The sequence below is a fragment of the Homo sapiens genome, chromosome 5 (assembly GCF_000001405.40).
Source record: "Homo sapiens chromosome 5, GRCh38.p14 Primary Assembly".
Classification (NCBI taxonomy): Eukaryota; Metazoa; Chordata; class Mammalia; order Primates; family Hominidae; genus Homo; species Homo sapiens.
In genome coordinates this window covers 55,982,982-56,004,695 of record NC_000005.10, presented here as the reverse complement: position 1 = coordinate 56,004,695, position 21,714 = coordinate 55,982,982, and the positions used below count along the sequence as shown (strand labels likewise).

At 40.9% G+C, this 21,714-nt stretch overlaps 1 protein-coding gene, 1 long non-coding RNA gene and 1 other non-coding gene across 12 annotated transcripts in view, besides 5 other annotated features; 2 read left to right on the top strand and 1 right to left on the bottom strand.

Annotated features, from left to right (window-relative positions):
• Positions 1–1,046: 1,046 nt before the first annotated feature.
• IL6ST-DT (IL6ST divergent transcript) lies at positions 1,047–9,529 on the bottom strand. Its single transcript, NR_102755.1, has 2 exons — positions 9,142–9,529; positions 1,047–2,947 (listed from the first exon to the last, which is right to left on the bottom strand). It is a non-coding gene; the product is annotated as an IL6ST divergent transcript (long non-coding RNA).
• Positions 1,241–1,535: an enhancer, noted in NCBI's record as "tiled region #5314; HepG2 Activating DNase unmatched - State 5:Enh". NCBI's record gives its function as "activates a minimal TATA promoter and a strong SV40 promoter by Sharpr-MPRA in HepG2 cells {active_cell/tissue: HepG2}" and the evidence as "EXISTENCE:reporter gene assay evidence [ECO:0000049][PMID:27701403]".
• LOC124901197 (small nucleolar RNA U13) lies at positions 4,075–4,178 on the top strand. The gene has a single exon (XR_007059161.1). It is a non-coding gene; the product is annotated as a small nucleolar RNA U13 (small nucleolar RNA).
• Positions 8,647–10,965: a transcriptional cis regulatory region, noted in NCBI's record as "chr5:55289559-55291877 region (GRCh37/hg19 assembly coordinates) targeted for CRISPR interference". NCBI's record gives its function as "positively regulates IL6ST gene expression in GM12878 lymphoblastoid cells {active_cell/tissue: GM12878}" and the evidence as "EXISTENCE:mutant phenotype evidence [ECO:0000015][PMID:33828297]".
• Positions 9,180–9,691: an enhancer, noted in NCBI's record as "H3K27ac hESC enhancer chr5:55290833-55291344 (GRCh37/hg19 assembly coordinates)". NCBI's record gives its function as "activates a minimal SCP1, AML or CMV promoter by ChIP-STARR-seq in naive H9 embryonic stem cells {active_cell/tissue: H9 hESC(naive)}" and the evidence as "EXISTENCE:reporter gene assay evidence [ECO:0000049][PMID:30033119]".
• Positions 9,280–9,953: a transcriptional cis regulatory region, noted in NCBI's record as "chr5:55290571-55291244 region (GRCh37/hg19 assembly coordinates) targeted for CRISPR interference". NCBI's record gives its function as "positively regulates IL6ST gene expression in BJAB lymphoma cells, Jurkat T cells and THP-1 monocytic cells {active_cell/tissue: BJAB | Jurkat | THP-1}" and the evidence as "EXISTENCE:mutant phenotype evidence [ECO:0000015][PMID:33828297]".
• Positions 9,523–10,002: a silencer, noted in NCBI's record as "silent region_16017". NCBI's record gives its function as "represses an Ori minimal core promoter by ATAC-STARR-seq in GM12878 lymphoblastoid cells {active_cell/tissue: GM12878}" and the evidence as "EXISTENCE:reporter gene assay evidence [ECO:0000049][PMID:35858748]".
• Positions 9,733–21,714, top strand: part of IL6ST (interleukin 6 cytokine family signal transducer) — a 59,869-nt gene continuing 47,887 nt past the window's right edge. For all 10 annotated transcript variants that reach the window (NR_157112.2, NR_120480.2, NM_001364276.2 and 7 more), the window contains exon 1: positions 9,733–9,912. The gene's annotated coding sequence lies outside the window, so the exon portion shown is untranslated. The remainder of the gene's footprint in view (positions 9,913–21,714) is intronic.

Sequence of the window (21,714 nt, the reverse complement as noted above, 5' to 3'; positions counted from 1 at the left end):
TTCCCACTGCTTCCTCTTGCTGTTCCCTCTGCCAAGAACTGCTTCCCTCCATTATCTCCCTTAGTGAGTTCCTACTCATCTTTCATGAACTTGCTTCAATGTCACACTTCCTCTAGAAAGCATCTCCAGTCTCTCCAGGGAAAATTAATTGTCTCTTTTCTGAATTAACATAGCACTTTGTTCAAATGACTAATACAGCATCCATGACATTGTATATGTTGGGAGAGACTAACTTAAAGAGCAAAGAATTTTTTCAGTCTGCCATTTTATCTGGGTTCCCCCATTCCCTTTTTGCTCTGTGGTCTAGAAATCTCTTCCTCAATTCCTTTTCTTTCTTTTCTTTTTCTTTCTTTCTTTTTTTGAGATGGAGTCTCGTTCTGTCACCAGGCTGGCGTGCAGTGGCGCAATCTCAGCTTACTGCAACCTCTGCCTCCTGGGTTCAAGCAATTCTCCTGCCTTAGCCTCCTGAGTAGCTGGGACTACTGGTGTGCGCCACCACGCCCAGCAAAGTTTTTGTATTTTTAGTAGAGACCGGGCTTCACCATGTTGGCCAGGATGGTCTCAATCTCCTGACCTTGTGATCCTAATGCCTCGGCCTCCCAAAGTGCTGGGATTACAGGCATGAGCCACCACGCCCGGCCCATCAATTCCTTTTCTACAGTGAATGATCATCTGGAATCATTTGCATTTTTGGCTGTGAGTTTCTCATGGCCTAGAGCAGACTTCTGAGAGGAAGTAACTACTTAGATGAATATTTTTACACGGTGAGCAAGTTAGGCAAAGCAAATGAAGAAGGCAATGACCGGCCAAGGAAACAGAATAAGCTGTCTCTTCTTGGCATGGAAGGAGGGAACAGTATGTTGGATGCTGGCCCAGGAACCATTAGCAAATAGGTAATATGAGAGCCTGGAGTTGGAGGCCATGTTAGGAGACAAGACCAGAGAAGTAGGTAGAGGTCACGTAATGAGGGACTTCTATGACATACAAGAGGGATTTGGGTAATGGGAAGGGATTGACGGAGTTTTAAGGAGAGTGAGATGGTCAGATTTTCAGCACGGTACATGATAAAGATTAGAATTTTATTCTGGTTGCTTATTACTCCTAACAAAACAGTGACTTAAAACAAACATTTTATTATACCATACAAATTTTTGAGTCAGCAGTTTGGAAAGAATTCAGTTAGGCAGTTCTTCTGCTCTATGTGGCATTGACTGGGATCAGTTAGTATTATTCATCTCGTGGCTGGTCTGGTATGGAGGTTCCAAGATGGCTTTACTCACATGCCAAGTTCCTGGGCAGGGTCACTAGGAAGACTGGGATCAGCCGGGCCACTCCCCCTCTCCCTGTAGTCTCAGCTCTCTCCAGATGGTGTAATAAGGTAGATGGACTTTGTACACAGTGACTCAGGACTTCCACAGACCAAGGTGAAAGCTCCTCTTAAAAGCCAGACCCTGAACAAGCCTGCCTAAATTCAAGATGAAGGGAAATAGCCCTCAAATCTCTCCATAGAAGAGTATTGAAGAATTTGTGGCCATTTTAAATCCACTACAAGGTATAAAAATGTAGAACTGAAAGTAGAGAGAGGCAACTGACTTCTTATAATGCCCAGTTTCTGAAGTATTTATGTATGAGTACTTCCAGAATATTCTCTTAACATCTTCCTCATAGCACTGTAACATGGCTATGATTTTTGTATGATTGTTGGTTTATGTATTAGACTTTTGAGCTCCTCAATGAGGACAACACGTGTGTCTTCCTTAGATTAATATCTCAGTGCCTGGAACATAGTTGATGCTCAAAACTTATTGAATAAATAAATTGAATACATTAGAATGGTGGGATCCCGTCTTCACAACACCAGAGCAGCGTTCTGCTTGATATAATTTCCTTCTCCAGATTCGTATCTTCTTATGAACGTAAGAGAAGCTTGATTTAAATGTGTAGAAATAGTATCCATTATAAATATTTATGTGAATAGCTTTTAACTTTTCCCTGTTGTATTAGTTCTCCACTACATAACAAATTATCACATACTTGGCAGCTTAAAACAACACACATTTATTATCTCAGTTTCTGTGGTCAGGAGTCTAGGCACAGTTTAGCTGGGTTCTCTGCTTCAGTTCTCATGAGGCTGCAAACAAGTTGTTAGCTGAGGATGCTGTCTCATCTGAGGCTTGACTGGGGAAGGATCTGCTTTTGTTGGCAAAATTCAGTTCCTTGAGGTTGTAGGACTGAGAGATTTGGTTTCTTTCTCTCTTTTTTTTTTTTTTTTGAGATGGAGTCTCGCTCTGCCACCCAGGCTGGAGTGCAGTGGCGTGATCTCAGCTCACTGCAACCTCTGCCTCCTGGGTTCAAGAAATTCTCTCCCTCAGCCTCCTGGGTAGCTGGGATTACAGGTGCCTGCCACCACACCCAGCTAATTTTTGTATTTTTAGTAGAGATGGGGTTTCACCATCTTGGCCAGGCTGGTCTTGAACTCCTGACCTTGTGATCCACCCACCTTGGCCTCCCAAAGTGCTGGGATTAAAGGCATGAGCCACTGTGCCTGGCCGGGAGATTCAGTTTCAAAGCTAGCTGTTGGCAGAGTCTGCCCTCAGTTCCTTAACATGTGGGTCTTTCCATATCAAAGCTCAAACATGGCAGGCAGCTTGATTTTTCAGAGCCACAAGAGAGAGAGAGACACTAGCAAGATGGGCACTATCTTATATAACTCAATGACATACATGCCTTCACACTCAAGAGGAGGAAATCACACAAGGAATACCAAGAAGCAGGAGGTCATAGCATTTCTCCTAAGAGTCTATCTGTCATATATCCTTACATCCAAATAATGACTCTCATAATTTGATATATCACCAGATAAGCTTTGTTTCCAGTTTCATTTGACCCTGACATTAAATTTCATTTATTTATTTGTTAATTATGGAAGATGGCCATTCCGTAAATCCTGTGAAAAATCAGAGGGGACAATTATCAGAAAATTCCAGCCCTCTCAGGAAGTATATCCATTTCATTTTTACTTTACAGTAGGGACTGCCTTCCTCTCTTAAGGAGACAGATACACATTTGCCTAAACCATTATTTAATACAATTAGTACTAGATCTTTCTTCAGATCCTATGTAGGGGGCTGGGAATTCTTAGCTATACAAGCTCACACAATATATTTTTTAAAATTCATGTTGATACTTTTTCATCTATTTGGTTTTAGCACAAGTATCAGACTGGCAGCCAAGGAACCTATTTTGTAACTGCAGAATATTCTTTCCAGGAAGACTGGTGAAAGGAGAATCAACGAAGGAAAGCCCTTGCTTCTCAAACTCCCCCTGATAATATTCTGAAGCAAGTATAGTCCATTCCAAAGCTACAGTCCCAATACCTGACTTCCTTATCCTATGTATGTGTCTAGGAATAGGATGCACCTAACTGCTGCTCACATGTCTTGCACTGGCCTTTCCTTCTCTGAAGCCAAGCTTCCCTCTCAAAGAGTAACTCAAAATCATTGACCAGCCCATGGCTATTTGACCAGGGTTATCCCTGGAAGTCCACAGTATGGAGATCTCTGAGCTAGATCCCTTCCTCTGTGTTTACCTTTACAGAGCAGTGCTTATTTCTTTCTTTTTTTTTTTTGAGACAGAGTCTTGCTCTATCACCCAGGCTGGAGTGCAGTGGTGCAATCTCGGCTCACTGCAAGCTCCACCTCCCGGGTTCACACCATTCTCCTGCTTCAGCCTCCCAAGTAGCTGGGACTACAGGCGCCCACCACCACGCCCAGCTAATTTTTTGTATTTTTTAGTAGAGATGGGGTTTCACCGTGTTAGCCAGGATGGTCTCGATCTCCTGACCTTGTGATCCGCCCGTCTCGGCCTCCCAAAGTGCTGGGATTACAGGCGTGAGCCACTACGCCCGGCCACAGAGCAGTACTTATTTCATTTTAAACTCTCTTGGTTTAGTATATTCATTAAAATAAAATAAGTAAATATATTACGTTGGTGTAAAATTGTGGTTTTCACCATTAAAAGTAATGGCAGAAATTACTTTTGCACCAACCTAATATTAAGCCTAAGAAGTTTCAGATTCTTTTGTAGTTTATAAGCCTGATGATTGGGTTTTCATGTGCATGTGTGAGATGTGCCTCCCGCAAACCTTGTTACGACGTTGGCACATTACCCATCTGATGTGAAAAAATTTTTCTGTACACTTTTCAAGTTTAAAAAGACAGCATAAAACTATTGTAATGCCCAACCTTGTTTTTACTAACCCTGTTTTTAGGCTTGTTTCCACCTGAATTGACTCTCCCTTAGCTAAGAGAGCCAGACAGACTCCATCTTGACTCTTTCACTGGCAGCCCCTTCCTCAAGGACTTAACTTGTGCAAGCTGACTCCCAGCACATCCAAGAATGCAATTAACTGATAAGATACTGTGGCAAGCTATATCCGCAATTCCCAGGAATTCGTCTGATTGATAACACCCAAAGCCCTGAGTCTATCATCTTGTAATAGTCTTAAAGCCCCTGCACCTGGAACTGTTTACTTTCCTGTAACCATTTATCCTTTTAACTTTTTGCCTACTTTATTTCTGTAAAATTGTTTTAACTAGACCCCCCTCCCCTTTCTAAACCAAAGTATAAAAGAAAATCTAGCCCCTTCTTCGGGGCAGAGAGAATTGTGAGCGTTAGCTATCTCTCGGTCGCTGGCTAATAAAGGACTCTTAATTCGTCTCAAAGTGTGTCGTTTTCTCTAACTCGCTTGGGTACAACGCTATGACATTAGAATAGTGGTCAGTTATGACCTTCCAATAACTGGATGGGAGGAGGGCCCTTTTGGGGTACTGGTCATTTTCTGTTTCTTTTTTTTTTTAAGACAGAGTCTCACTTTGTCACCAGGCTGGAGTGCAGTGGCGTGATCTCAGCTCACTGCAACCTCTGCCTCCCGGGTTCAAGCGATTCTCATATCTCAACCTCCCGAGTGGCTGAGACTACAGGCGTGTGCCACCACGCCTGGCTAATTTTTGTATTTTTAGTAGAGACTGGGTTTCACCACGTTGGCCAGGATAGTCTCAAACTTTTGACCTTGTGACCTACCCGCTTTAGCCTCTGGCCTCCCAAAGTGCTGGGATTACAGGTATGAGCCACCGCACCCAGACTATTTTCTATTTCTTTCTTTTTTTTTTCTTTTTGAGACCAAGTCTTGCTCTGTCACCCAGGCTGGAGTGTAGTGGCTCACTATACAACCTTGGCTCACTACAATCTTGGCTCACTACAACCTCCGCCTCCTAGGTTCAAGCCATTCTCCTGCCTCAGCCTCCCCAGTAGCTGGGATTACAGGAATGCACCACCAAGCCCAGCTAATTTTTGTATTTTTAGTAGAGATGAGGTTTCACCACGTTGGCCAGGCTGGTCTCGAACTCCTGACCTCGTGATCTGCCCGCCTTGGCCTCCGGAAGTGCTGGGATTACTGGTGTGAGCCACCGTGCCAGGCCTTCTGTTTCTTGATATAGATGATAAACATGAATGTGTTCATTTTGTCAAAAATTTTCAGGCTGTACTCTTATGGTATGTTGATTTTTCTGAATATACATTCTTCAAAACATTTTTTGAAATAGCAGTCATAATGGTTTTGAGTTTTGTTGCTATGAAATGAATTTCTCTTGTCTTCTAGTTTGGAAATTTAAGTTCATTTTTCATTCTCACCTCATTTTGTTAAGTGAATTTCAATGTAGCTTAACATTCTTCATTTTTAGACATTTAATTATTTTTAATTTTGGTGAATTAGGTGCTATCAGGTTACAAAGGTTTTAACACAGGCAGAGAGGCTGTCCTCAACTCACCACTGAGTTAATATCTAATTTTTAAACATTTCAAAGTCATTTAGTGTTAATAATGAAAAATATAAAACTAGGGGACTAGACTTAAAGTAGTACCAAGAACAGAGGAGGAGAAATTAACCTTTTAAAAGTAAAGGGGCCTTTCTTCCTCTGAGTGGGGAAAAGAGAAAGAGGATAAATATCTATTTGCTTCCTAAGTTGGAGAAAAGTCAAGGATGCTCACAAATGATGGTCTTGATTTTAAGGGAGTAAAACAAGGTTCTGTACTAAGAATAAATGTTACGGTGGGGCTGATAGCTCAAGGAAAAAGGAAATAGTTAGGAAATAGCCTGATAAGGTAAACATAGCTGAAGGTCAAGGGAACTGAAGAGAATAGTGCAGTTAAAATGGTTGATAAAAGGGTTCTTGGGGGGCGGTGGCTCACCCCTGTAATCCCATCACTTTTAGGAGTTGAGATCAGCCTGGCCAACTTGGTGAAACCCCGTCTGTACTAAAAGTACAAAAAATTAGCCAGGCATGGTGGTGAGCACCTGTAATCTCAGCTACTTGGGAGGCTGAGGCAGGAGAATCACTTGAACCAGGGAGGCGGAGGTTGCGGTGAGCCAAGATCGTGCCATTGCACCCCAGCCTGGACAACAACAGCAAAACTCCGTCTCAAAAAAAAAAAGGGGGTTCTTACTGGTAAGTAAGATAAAAAATGATAGGAAACAGCTGATAAACTATGAGAAGAAAGACTGGCTGTCAGGCTGTCACATTGAGGACAAATTACAGATTCAATGGGAATGACCACAGAATAGAGATAGATGGGGGTAGGTGGCTGTAGGTACAGAGAGGGAAACTCACAATCCAGCATTTTGGAGGGGAAGTAATTTCATTGATGACTAGGTTGAAGGTGTGGCTCCATCTGTGGGTTGCTGATACAGAGTGAAGTTGAAGATGATTGGAAAAGAAAACGATGAGAAATTGTGAGGTCAGAGTGCTAATGAGTCATGAACATGGATGCTGAAATCATTAAGGTGATACAGAACATGAGGATAATTCCAGGGCTGACACAGAATTTCAGAAACATAACTGGGCACAGACAAGGAAGTAAAGGGATATCCTAGTCAGCACCAGATTTAGGGAATTAGAAATGCAGGCAAAGTTTGTCTTTGACATTTATCACCTTTGTTCCATGGCACAATTTCCTAAGCTTTGCTCACTTACTCCCAAGTAATTGTAATTTTGGTGCCTTCATGTTACTTTCTCACTGTACAGTTTCCTCAATCTCTTTTTTTTTTTTTTTTTTTTTTTGAGAAGGAGTTTTGCTCTGTCACCCAGGCTGGAGTGCAGTGGCAGGATCTCAGCTCACTGCAACCTCTGCCTCCTGGGTTCAAGTGATTCTCGTGCCTCAGCCTCCCAAGTAACTGGGATTACAGGCACCCACCACCATGCCTGGCTAATCTTTGTATTTTTAATAGAGTTGGGGTTTCACCAGGCTGGTCTTGAATTCCTGGCCTCAAGTGATCCGCCTGCCTCAGCCTCCCAAAATGCTGGGATTACAGGTGTGAGCCACTGCACCCGGCCTGCTCTTGACATATCTAAAATCTCAAATGGTCACAGGACACAAATGGAGAGTTCTCCATTAATATACTACTTTCCCCTACTTACCTTTGCATTTTGACAAGGCTTTCTAGTAACAAATCCTTAATCTGAAATTCGTAATTTCAAGGCCAATACTCTACAGAGGTATCTGCAAAGTCATGTAATTCCAGCACAGCAGAGGTCTTCCGTCCTGTTGCTCTGAAAAATACTTCTCCAATATTGATTCATCCTTTTGGCCTCAGACTTTAACTACTCCCATAAAATGTGAGTTTCTTGGGAGCAGGACCTGAGCTGAGCCAATAAAAAGACACCCATAAAAGCACTAACTCAGTCATTTGTTTTCCTAATGGTGCCAAGGCAGGCTGGTGTGTTGTGACATATCAATCCACTTCTGTGTACCTGCCCTTCCCCGTCCAGCAAAATATCATCATTTTTAATATATGTTGTGATACTAAAATATTTCAGAAGTGTTGACCGAGTAGACATTCAATAATGATTATAGCTGATACTTACAGAGCACCTACTATGTGCCAAACACTGTATGTATTTTAACTCATTTAATCCTTGCAACAATCCTGTTAGGTTGGTATTGTTATTCTCATTTTGCAGATGAAGAAATTTGAAAAGACTTGCCCAAGGTCACAGAGATGAGAAATAGAGGCATCAGCATTTAAACCTAGGCAATCTAGAACCAGAGGGTACATTTAACCACTATACATCTCCCCTAAATACATCTTTGCATCACACCTGTTATCTCAGCACTTTGGGAGGCCACTAAGGCCGGAGGATCGTTTGTTGCCAGCAGTTCAAGACCAGCCGGGTCAGCATACCAAAATCTTGTCTCTCCAAAAATTTTAAAAATTGGCCAGGTATTGTAGGGGCACCTGTAGTCTGAGATACTTGGGAGGTTGAGGTGGGAGGATCGCTAGAGCCCAGGAATTTGAACGTGCGGTGAGCATGATCCAGCCACTGCACTCCAGCCTGGGTGACAGAGTGAGACTGTGAACAACAACAAAAAAATCAAGTTTCCTGGATCTATACAAAATTTTCAATTTAACAAATTTTTATAAAAATTTGTTTTAAAATAAACACCCCTCTAAATGGCAAAGCTAGAACAGAATCTGGTCACAATCTATAGGTTAGATATAGGATGACAGGGAGGAGCAAGAGCTGAACACATCAGCTGCAGCACCATCTACTTTGCCTGCGACTCCGTTAGCAGGCCCACTTTGCCCTTTTATAAATTATCTGATCAACAACTAAGAGATTAAAATTCGATCTATGTTTTACTCTATCTGAATCCTCAATATAATGAAGAACTTTATAATTGTTAATTTATGGATATAATTTAAGTTCATTAAACCATTATTTCCTTCCTATATCCTCTCATTCTTCCACAAAAACCTCTACCTTTGGGTGTTTACTTTTACAGACACCCACGCACACACCCCACACGCACGCACGCACATGCCTTATCTTTTAACTCAAGATTCTCATCTTCCTTTGGGGAGAAACAAACATCATGAGCCTTGAGGTCCATTTTCTGAGGGAAAGGGGGGGGCGGAGGCGGGATGAATAGGTTTTTACCCGGTATTTTTTATCATAAACGGGGAGGTACAAACCGCAAAGAAACACTAGTCGCTTGGTGGGCCACCACCTCTGGGGCTCACTGATCAATCGCACCCAAACTCATTTACTAATTTAAAAAAGTACTGTGGCAAGGCTCGTTTACGTAAGTCTTGGAGAGAAGCCGCCGCCACAATCTGCCGCAGTCTCGTGCGGAGTCACGGCCACCGAGCTCTTCACTTTCCCCAAGAGGCTCCCACGCCTTCCCCATCCCCAAGGGAGCTAGGCGGTCCCTCGCGGCTCTGAGTCCCTCGGGGAAGGCCGCGAAGAGAGGCCGCAGGCGCCCTGGCGAGAAGGGAGGGCGGGGGCAGCGGGCGGCGGGCAGCACCCGGGCTCCAGTTCATGACCCCGTTATTCCACAGAAAAATGGAACATTCCGCTCTTTCCGCCCACAGAGGGGAGGTGGGGGGAACCCTTCGATCTAGTCTGGGAGAGGCGACGCGGACGCAGCCACCGGAATCCGGGACGCGAAGAGCCGCGTTACGGGAATCGCTACCCCTCGGAGTCCCGCCCCCTCGTCGACAGGCGGCCACTGGACCAATGCCTGGGCGCAAAGGGTCTCTCAGGGGCCAATCAGCGCCTAGGTCCCGGTAGGGGGCGGGGCGCAGCGTTGGCCGGCCGGGGGCGCAGCTGGGCGGGATTGGGGAGCGCCCCGCCCCGCCGCGGGACTGGGGTGGCGCGCTACCTCTGCGGAGAAGGATCTGACAGTGTTCCGGAGCCGGGGCGAGCAGCCAAAAGGCCCGCGGAGTCGCGCTGGGCCGCCCCGGCGCAGCTGAACCGGGGGCCGCGCCTGCCAGGCCGACGGGTCTGGCCCAGCCTGGCGCCAAGGGGTTCGTGCGCTGTGGAGACGCGGAGGGTCGAGGCGGCGCGGCCTGAGGTGAGGAGGGGCCGGGTGCTGGGTCGCGTAGCTGGAGTTAGAGTGTCGGTGGTTTCGGACGGGCTATCTGGCACTCGAGGAGACCTCCCTTCCCCCTGAGAGCAGCGCCCGGAACTTGTCAGCCCAGCCTGGAAATCCCCACATTCCTTCCCCTTCCTGCTCCCGGACCTCCGAATTCTACTTCCACAACTTTGTCACCTCGATTATCGCAGCCCTGAGTACAAACTTCACCCAGGCGCACGCACGCACCCCTCTTAACGCCCGCCCCGCAGAACGCCCTTCAAGAACAAACCCCCCTTTTTGTTACCAGATCCCACGTTTTTCCCAATCCCCTTTTCATCTCCCCTGAAATTCTATTCGCTCCGCACTTGTCTTCATTCTCGAGGTGGATTTCCCTTCCCCAAAGCCGTTTTTTCATCTTGAAATCGTAACGTTTCAGCTTTGTTGAAAGTTCACAATGCTTATAAACACTATTAACGTTTCTTTCCTTCTTTTGATCTTTTCTATTAATAATTATCATTCCTAACGAATTCCACATCTCACTGTATCCCAAGGAGAACAAATCAGTTTTTAAAATTTTACCTCCTCCGACCTAAACTTTTGAAGATAGTGCAGGAAGCAAGGGTCTGTTCTTCAGTGGATGAACAGCATTTTATTTCATAATCCGAAACTGAAAAAAAAAAAAAATCACAGGTTAAAAATAAGACGTCACCTTTTTTTTTTTTTTTTTTTTTTGCCTTCAGAAGGAAACGCATTTTGGCTTAGTTTGTGAAGTATTTCAACAATTATACTGCCTTAAAATAACTAGTTATTAGAATGCCAGGGTGAATTTTCTGAAAGATTGTGGTATTTGCTTTTGACAGTGCTGTAAACAAACCCTTTAAACTGTGTATGACTGCCAGCTTCAAGTTGGAACAACTCTTAATTTGAAATTACGGACTCAGATCATCAGTTTAGCTGTGTGCCATTATGTTAATTTCTTAAATTCATGTTAATTCCTATTTGGAAGTATTTTTGAACTATGAACTGAAATATTACATTTATAGAACCAACTTGCTATTAAATTGTGCTTTCCAACTATTTCTCTTTAGGGATAATCTTGAACGTTTGTTTTTAATCTTGAGTGAAAGAAAAAAATTACAGGAAGGAGAAAGTGTCAAAAAGGACAGACTGTAGTGGGATTTTTTTCTTATTTTAAGTATGTATTGACAATACCAGTTTAATTTTCTCACAGGCAATTTAGATTATTATAAATACTGCTGCCACCTAATTTAATATAATATAGTCTTACGTAACTAAAAATGTTGTTCTCACTCTTATTTGTGAATTGCAGTATTTTCAATTTATTTAAATTTGTTTCCAAGGCTTTGCACTTCAGTTCAGTGTTAGGGCGAAAGTTAAATACATGTGAAGTAGGTGTTAAAATGTCCCCTTTATAGAGAAGGAAACAGGAGTCTCGCTGAAAACTAGATCTGTGTGACTCCAAATCCTGTGCTCTGAATCATTTTGTCATGTTGACACGTTTCTCATAAAAACCCCAGTGCCACAATTTGGTTTGGGAACTTAAGGGCAACCCATAAATCCTCTACAGTGGCAGGGAGGGATTCCCCGCTCCCTCCTTTCAGAGCTGCTCATTTTAATGGGAGTCAGAATTCTCTGGCCCTAATACATTTGCAGCTTGGCTCCTAGAGAAGCATGGAATGTTCTCACAGCTTCTCCGTTTCTTTGATTGCAAAGGCAGAATGATCAGAGTTGAGGTTCCTATTGTGCTTTATTATTTTACACAGCAAATACTAAGCAATTACTACCTGCTGTACGAACTCACAAAGGTGCAGGAGATGTAATCAGGACCTTCAAAGAGTTTATAATAATTGGATTGACAAACTTATACGAAAAAAACTACAAGGATGCAAAGCAGTTTTAATTAAATGCAGAGTGATGCAGAAAATCCTGTAGATATTAAAATTAGGGAATGATCGTTTAAGGATTGGAGTGAGCATTTAAGGATTGGAATGAGCAAAGGATTTACCAGAAGTTGGCCTTGAAACCTGGGTAGGATTTGGATAAAGGGAAAAATGAAGACAGCCCATTAATAATAGCGAATGGAGGACAAAATGTAGAATGGAGAATATAGAACATAATATAGGACTAGCTTGTGGAAAGGATCAGCAGTAACTAAGGTCTATTAATTAAAACAGGCAATATATTTAGTGCTTATGTTGTGCCAGTTGCTGTTTTGAGCACTTTGCCCATATTAAGGCATTTAATCTTCATAATATTATGAAGTAGGTCTAATAATAATAGGATAAAATCCTCTTTTTACACATAGGGAAACCCAGGCACAAGAAGGTTAATTAATTTGCCCAGCTAAGTGGTAGATCTAAAGGTCATACATAGACAGCCTGGCTTCAGAATCTGACCTCTTAACCATGATACATCCTGCGTCTCCATACAGTACGCTTGAGCGACAGCGAGTAGATAGAAAATAAGATCATACCAGAAAGTCTATAAAAACCCACCCTTAATTGTCCACCAGGTGCCTCAAACTATGGTAGATTCTGAGGATATCAAGATATGTGAAACAATTACTGTGCAGTGTTCTGAGTCCTGTTAGGGAATGATGTAAGAGTACACTGACAGCAAAGATGTTTGAAGTGGGGGGAAATTCCATATAAGAGATGATACTTCAAAAGCAGTTTGTAGTGCACAGCAGAGTCAGGAAAGACATTGGAATAATATATGTAGAAGCACAGACTGAAAGAACAAGGTATGTTAGAGGAAGTCTAGTGGTTTGCTGAGTCTACAGGGATGGTTAGTAGGGAGTGATGAAAGATAAGACCGAATTATAAATGGCATGGTGTGGTCAAGCAAAATGAGGAGCTTAAGTATTTGCTTTGCAGTTTGGAAACTACAAGAATAATTTCAGCATTATTGGAGTAAAAAAGCCAGATTGCTTGCAATTGCAAGCAGTTCTCTCTAGAAGTATAGTAGTAAGGTAGCTTGAGGGAGGAGTCTGAGGAAAGGATTTTTTTTTTTTTTTAGAATAGAGAAACTTGAGTATTGGAAAAGATAGATTGGATAGGCACATCAAAGCCAAAATTTTAGGTTCTTAAATAGTTAGAATATTTGGCATTATTATTCACCCTTTAAAAAGCTGTTGAGGAGAAGAATGACAGGTTTAAAGTTGTGTTGTAGAGAGAGTGATCCACCAACAATGTTCAGAATGCTTGGTGGGGAGGAAAGAGACTGGAAGCAGGAACACAGTTGAAATTATTGAGGTGATCAATGTCCAAATTAGGTTAGTTTGTGGTAGAGAGTAAAAAGAAGAGATGGGTGGGAAAGATATTATGGGAGAGAAGACAGGATAAGATTTGTAACTGAGAAAAGCTAAAATGTACTGCATAGATGAGAGAAACGATGGACTCCATTGACTTAGGCAGTTGAAGAGGATGAGTTGTTTGTAGATAGGGAAAAATGGTAAGTCCTTGTGACTTTTTAAAAAGTGTGTGGGCATTCATCCCATTACTGGGCATATACCCAAAGGATTATAAATCATGCTGCTATAAAGACATACATGCACACGTATGTTTATTGCAGCACTATTCACAATAGCAAAGACTTGGAACCAATTCAAATGTCCATCAATGATAGACTGGATTAAGAAAATGTGGCACATATACACCATGGAATACTATGCAGCCGTAAAAAAGGATGAGTTCATGTCCTTTGTAGGGACATGGATGAAGCTAGAAACCATCATTCTGAGCAAACTGTTGCAAGGACAGAAAACCAAACACCGCATGTTCTCACTCATAGGTGAGAATTGAACAATGAGAACGCTTGGACACAGGGTGGAGAACATCACACACCAGGGCCTGTCATGGGGTAGGGGGAGGGGGGAGGGATAGCATTAGGAGATATACCTAATGTAAATGACTAGTTAACGGGTGCAGCACACCAACATGGCACATGTATCATATGTAACCTGCATGTTGTGCACATGTACCCTAGAACTTAAAGTATAATAAACAAAAAAAGTGGGTGGGCATTTATGTGTATATGTGTTCATGAGCATGTACCTATGGTGTATTGTTTTTAGACCTCTTAAATTGATAAGACTCAGAGACAGAATATCTAAGAAGATGAAATGTAACTGGAATTAAAAGAAAGATCCAAGCCAAAATTCTTGAAATTATTTTGTTTGAAGGTAGTAGTTGAAGTCATGTCTTCAAAGAAGTTGGTATTTAAAAAGAAAAGTCGATGCCCAGTACTTTATCTTTGGGTACCTTCATAGCCTGGAGATAAAAGCTAGCAGAGAATTCAGTAAAGGAGACAAGAAAGAGGATAAAGGAAAGAATTCAACTACATTATCTGGTTACATAGAAACCAGGATATAGGAGAAATTCAAGAACCAGGGATGGTCAACAATGTGAAAGGCTTCAGAAACACTTGTGATATATATAGTCAAAATGGCTACAGTCTCTTCTTCTTCTTTTTTTTTTAAACTTTGCGGCTATCTAGTGTATCTTAGTAAGATTTAATAAGAAATTAGCTGATTGATCGTGAATAAGAGAGCTACATTGGCTGAAAAATGGCTATAGTATATAGATGATTGTTTTAAAGCTGTGTGTATACATATCCAGAGCAGGAGATTCATTCCTTTCAGCACTGTAAATCTGTTGCCCTGTTACATTTGGAATGTTCTGCCTCCAAAGTTTCATTTTCTTTTAAGCAATCAGCTTCACCCTTTGCTCTAAGGTTGATTGATCTGCTCAGTCTTTTTTTGTTTGGATGTTCTGTTTTATGTATTACCCCCAACCCCACCCCCTAGTGCAAAGTGAGTTAATCAGAGCTATGTTTCAGATAGCATAGCTCTGGTTAGACTGGCATGCTCTGGGATTTTGTCATTGGTAATCTTCACTTGACAATTAGAGTCAAAGATGATGTAGAGTTCATATGTGTGCTATTTTCTCTATCTAGGAACCCCTACCCTTATTTTAAGACTGGGCGCTCCTGGCCCCTGTCTGAATTGGGTATTTTCTGTGCTCCTGTGGCACTTTGTGCATATTCTGCATCTCTAAACTTTGGACTTCTTAAAGGCAAGAACTATTTATATGGCTTCAATTATGTTTGTAACGGAATAAAAATTGAATAAAAGCTTGAGCTTTTATTTCTTAAGCAATGGTGAGAACATGGATGTTCATCAAAGTGCTCTGTAAACCTTTTCATTTGGCTAAAATAGTCTAATTTTAAAAGGCCCTAAGGTCATAAGCATATTCTATGTGTTTTTCAATATGCTTATAATTTTGCTTTTGCATTTAGGTCCTTAATCTGGAGAGAGAGTGTATGCTTATACATGCATGTGCACGTGCATGAGTGTGTGTCTTTTTGTCTGATGAAATGGGGTTCTTTTTTTTCTTTTTTGCTTATGGAGCCAGTTGTCCCAATACTATTTATTGAATAGTCCTTTATTTTCCCAGCAAATGAGCAACCTTTTAAAAAATCAGATACTAAATTCTTATATACACTTGAGTGTGTTTTGTTTTGTACCATTGATTTAGTTGTCTATTCATTTGCCAATCAGTGCTATGTTTACTTTACCTTTAGACTGCCCTTTTTTTTTTTTTCTGCGAGACTTTTTTTTTTTTTGAGACAGAGCCTCGCACTGTTACCCAGGCTGGAGTACAATGGCAAGATCTTGGCTTCTTAGCTTGCTGCAGCCTCTATAAGCCCAGGCTCAAGTGGTTGTCCCACCTCAGCTTCCTGAGTAGCTGGGATTACAGGCATGGTCCACCATGCCCGGCTGATTTTTTTTTTTATTTTTTTTTTATTTTTTATAGAGATGGGGTTTTGCCATGTTGCTTAGGCTGGTCTTGAACTCCTGGGCTCAAGCAATCTACCTACCTCGGCCTCCCAAAGTGCTGGGATTACAGCCGTGAGCCACTGCACCCAGCCTTCTGTTACATTTTCTAATTAGTTATTACTGGTATGTAGGAGAGCTTTTTTTTTTTTTTTTGGAGATGGAGTTTTGCTCTTGTTGCCTGGGCTGGAGTGCAGTGGCGACATCCCGGCTCACTGCAACCTCCGCCTACTGGGTTCAAGTGATTCTCCTGCCTCAGCCTCCCAAGTAGCTGAGATTACAGGTGTGCGCCACCACTCCCGGCTAATTTTGTATTGTTATTAGAGACAGGGTTTCTCTATGTTGGTCAGGCTGGTCTCGAACTCCCAACCTCAGGTGATCTGCCTATCTCGGCCTCCCAAAGTGCTGGGATTATAGGCGTGAGCCACCGCGCCAGCTGGAGAGCTATTTTTTGATGATGTTTTGTTTGACTGTTATGTTAAACTCTAAATAGTCCTATTATTTTTTGATGATGTTTTGTTTGACTACTGTGTTAAATTCTCAATAGTCCTAATAGTTTGTCATGTGATTCTCACTCTTTCTTGATAGATGATCATATCATTCACAATTTATTTTCCATTTTTAGATCTTATTTATTATATTTTTGCTTAAGCCCTTTAGAGCAGTGGTGAATAACTGATGACTTCAAGCATCTTGTCTGAATCTTGACATTAATAGGAACGCTTCTAATTTTTACCTTTAAACCTATAGATGCTTATTATAGGTTTCTTTCTTCCTTTTTTTTTTTTTTTTGGAGGCAGAGCCTCACTCTGTCGCCCAGGCTGGAGTGCAGTGGTGCATTCTCGGCTCACTGCAACCTCTGCCTCCCGGGTTCGAGCAATTCTTCTGCCTCAGCCTCCCAAGTAGCTGGGACTATAGGTGCCCACCACCACGACCAGCTAATTTTCATATTTTTAGTAGAGACAGCGTTTCACCATATTGGCCAGGCTGGTCTCAAACTCCTGACCTTGTGATCCACCTGCCTCGGCCTCCCAAAGTGCTGGGATTACAGGCGTAAGCCACCATGCCTGGCCTTGTAGGTTTCTTATAGTAGTACCTGTGGCAGCAACAGCAAGAGCTGCACTAATAATAACAGCTGTTAACCTTTTATTGAGTAGTTACAATGAGCCAAATGATTCTAAGCACTTTATGTATAATGAGTTATTTAATCATCATAACATTCCTAGATGGGTAGGTGGTGGTGGTACCCCATGTTTACAGATAAAGGAAGTAAAAGTGAAGGCTATTTAAAAACTTGCCTAAGATGTTAAAATATAGGGACTGAAATTTGAACACAAGCAATCTGGTTCTAGAGTCCCTGTATCATCTTTGTTATCCTTCACCAAGGTAAGGATGGTCTCTTTCAGTCTTAGTTTTCTGACACTTTGTTGTTATTTTTAAGTTTTAGATGAACAGTTGTTGAATGTTATCAGATGCTTTTCAAACATCTGTTGGAATGACCCTGTCATTTTCCTTTGGTCTGTTAATATAGTAATTAGCAGTATCTTTTCTCATTTTGAACTGTGCTTATTTTAGGCTAAATACTTGTTAGCATTCACACTTTGGTTTTGTTTTCAAATCTATTTAGACTTTTCTCTAACCATACTACAAAAAAATGTTAAAGGCAGTTTTTCAGGCCCAAGGAAAATGATACCAGATGGAAATACGGATCTATACAAAGGAATTAAAAGCTCTAGAAATGGTAACCACACGAGTAAATATGTGCCAGTCTCACTCTGTCACCCAGGCTGGAATGCAGTAGTGCAACCACAACTCACTGCAGCCTCGACCTCCAAGGCTCAAGCAGTCCTCTCACCTCAGCCTCCTGAGTAGCTGGGACAACAGGCATGCACCACCACAGCTGTCTAACTTTTTATTTTTTGTAGAGGCGAGAGTCTTACTATATTGCCCAACCTGATCTTAAACTTCTGGGCTTAAGTGATCCTCCTGCCTTGGCCTCCCAGAGTGATGGGATTTCAGGTGGGAGCTACCAATGTGAAGTTTTAATATATGCAAAAGTAAAATATATGCTAAAATAGCACAAAGGTCTGGGGGGAGAAATGGAAGTATACTATTATATACTATGCCTGAGGTGACATAATATTACTTGAAGATAGATTGTGAAAAGTTAAAGATGTACACTATAAACCTAAAGCAACCAATAAGAAAACAAAGAATTATAGCTTATTAGCTAACAAGGAAAAGAGAATAAAAAATAATTAAGAAAAATAAATGCAGAAAAGTAAACAGGAACAAAGAACAGTCAAGAAGAAAACAAATATGAAGCTGATAGCTTTAAACCTAATCATATCACAAATTATATTAAATGTAAATGGTCTGAACACCCAATTGGAAAGCAGAGATTATCAGATTGGATACAACCACATGCTGCCTACCCCCTAAAGATGCCACTTAAATATGAAGAAACATACAGATTAAACAAAAAAGAATGGGAGAGGATATGTCATGATAACACTAATCAAAGTAAGACAGAATTGGCTATAGTAATATCAAAGTAGATTTCAGAGAATGTTACCAGTGGTAAAGAAGGGCATTTCCTAATGATAAAAGGGTCAATTTATCAAAAGGATCTACCAAATAACATAGTTTCAAAACACAACAGGGTAAAAACTGCAAGGAGAAGTAAATCCACAGTTATATTCAGGGATTTCAATATCCCTTTTTGAACAATGATAGAAGTAGTAGTCAGAAAATCAGTAAGGATATGGAAGATTTGAACACTATCAACCAAATTCACGTAATGACCATTTATGTAACACTCTACCAGCAGCAGCAGTGCTTTTTAAGTGCACACAGAATATTGATTTCAAGATTTATAAGGCTAAAGTCATCACGACAGTGTGGTGGTAGCATATAAATAAGCAAATTGATCAGTGGAACAAATAGAGTAGGAGTCATCCTACCTTCTGTTTTCATAAAGTACTGTTAGAACACAGCCACCCCTGTTTGTTTATGTATTTTCTATGGTTGCTTTTGTGTCGTAACAGTAGATTGGTAGCTCCAATAGAGACCTTATGGCTCACAAACCTAGAATATTTACCTCCTACCTCATACATGAAAAGCTTGCCCACCCTGGAATTGAGAGTAGCCAAATAGACCCACACCTGTGAACAACTGATTTTTAAGAAAGACGCAAAGGCAATTCACTTGAGAAAGGATAATTTTTTCAGCAAATAGTTTTGAAACAATTATCCGTATATACAAAATGAACTCAAATTTCAGCTTGACACCACACATAAATATTAACTTGAAATAACTGAGACCTAAATGACCCTAAAACTATAAAACTTGTAGGAAAAAACCTTTTTGACTTTATTTTTATTTTTTATATTTTTTTTTTTTTGAGAAGGAGTCTCATTTTGTCACCCAGGCTGGAGTGCAGTGGTGCTATCTCTGCTCACTTGCAGCCTCCTCTGCCTCCCGGGTTCAAGCAGTTCTCTTGCCTCAGCTTCCTGTGTAGCTGGGATTACAGATGTGCACCACCACACCCGGCTAATTTTTAAAATATTTTAGTAGAGACAGGGTTTCACCATATACCCAGGCTGGTCTCGAACTTCTGAACTCAGGTGATCTACCCACTTCGGCCTCCCAAAGTGATGGGATTACAAGTGTGAGCTACTGCGTCGGGCCCTTTATGATTTTAGATTAAGCAAAGACTTCTTAGATACATCAAAAACACAAATTGATGAATTGAACTTTATTAAAATTAAACCTCCTATTCGTCAAAAGATACTGTTAAAAGAATGAAAAGACAAGCATACAAGAAAATAATGCGTAAATCCATTTTCTAATAAAGGCCAGAATATCTTCTTAGAACTTTCAAAACTTAATGAGAAAACAGGAAACCCAGTTGATCAATATGTTTGAACAGACACATCATCAAAGAAGATATAGCCAAGCACACACCTGCCGTAGGGCCTAGCCATTCCACTCTTCACTTACCTTCTATTTTGGGGACACACACTATGTGTTAGTTTCCTAGGGGCTACTGTAATAGAGCATCCCTTTGTTACAGTATCCCTTACCTGAAATACTTAGTAACAGAAGTATATTGGATTTTGGATTTTTTTTTTTCAGTTTGTGTTGTATTTGCATTATATACTTAAAGTTAAGCATCCCAAATCCTAAAATCTGAAATCCAAAATGCCAGAGCTCAAAACGTTTTGGAATTAGAGCATTTCAGTTTTTAGATTTGGGATGTTCAACCTGTACCACAAATTGGGTGGCTCAAAACAACAAATTTATTCTCTCAAGGTTTTGGAGGCTAGAAGTCCTTTTGAGACTTTGGATAGAATCTTCCTTTGCCTCTCCTAGCTTCTGGTGGTAGCCATCGTCGTTGAGATTCCTTAGCTTACAGCTGCATAACTCCAATCTCTGCCTGTGTATTCACATGGTATTCTTCCTGGCTCTGTCTCTTTAAAGACACCAGTCATATTGTACTAAAGGCCTATTATACTCCACTATAACATCCAATTAAATCTGCCCATAGAGTAACATTTTGTGCTACTGGGGTTAAGACTTCAACATATTTTTTGGGGGGAACAGTTCAGCCCATAACAAACAAAAAGAAAATTAATTTAATTATATTGTATTTAGAACAGGGGTTGGCAAACTATAGCCCATAAGCCAAATCCAGCTTGCAGCCATTTTTATAAATAAAGTTGCATGGGAATATACCTATGCCCACTTATTTACATATTGTGTATGGCTGCTTTTGCACTTTAATAACGGAGTTAACTAATTGCAAGAGAGAACTTAAAGCCCACGAAATCTAAAATATTTATTATCTGGCCCTTTACAGAAAATGTTTGCTAGCCTATTTTAGAAGGTGTTAAGTGTTGTAGAAAAAAAAAAAATCAGTAAAGGGGTATAAGAAACACAGGGTGGTTAGGGAAGATCTCTATGAGGAGGTGAATTTGAGCAAAGGCTACAAGGAATTACTCTCTATATATTAACTTATGAAGATGTCCACTATGTAGTGTTAAGTGAAAAAGGTTATAAAACATTTCTCACTTACATGATCCCATCTTTGTAAAATAGAAAAGTGTGTATATTTATACAATGTAAAGTTATATAATACATGTATAAAAAATTTTGCAAGAATATCCACCAAAATGTTCATGGTAGTTATCTCTTGGTGGGATTATAGTGCACTTTCACATGGCATTTTTTCAGTTTCTTTTCATTAGACATTTAAAAAATATTTTTATAAATTTAATTCCTTATGTGTTATTAAGTTATATCAAAGGCTTAATGTGTATGAAACAATAATGGAAGATTCAACTCCTTGCCTAAGTTTGAAGTTACTTGTTGTATTTCAAAGAGGAGCACTAGTACTTAAGCTAGAATTTAAGTGAACAAATCTTAAAATGGATTTTTATCTCTGGTTACATAGAATAGTTGTTAGCAGGCTTAATTTAGTGCTAGTAGAAGAAGAAATATGTGATTGTTAAAGAACTCCGTCTGTCATAAATGTTCCTGTCATGTTTCTGTGACATTACATAGACGTCAGGGAAGTTTGCATTAGGTGTGGGTGAGCCAATAATGTTTGCAAGCGTATATCAAATCATAGCACTAGGGCTGGGCGCGGTGGCTCATGCCTGTAATCCCAACACTTTGGGAGTCTGAGGTGGGCAGATCCCTTTGAGCTCAGCCTGGGCAACATGGCAAAACACTATCTGTACTAAAAATAAAAAAATTAGCTAGGCATGATGGTGCCATCTCTAGTCCCAGCTACTCGGGAGGCTGAGGTGGGAGAATTACCTGAGCCTGGGAAGTTCAAGCTGCAGTGAGCTGTAATTGTGCTACTGCACTGCAGCCTGGTGATGGGAGTGAGACATTGTCTCAAAAAAAAAAAAAAAAAGCACTAGAATATTTGAATA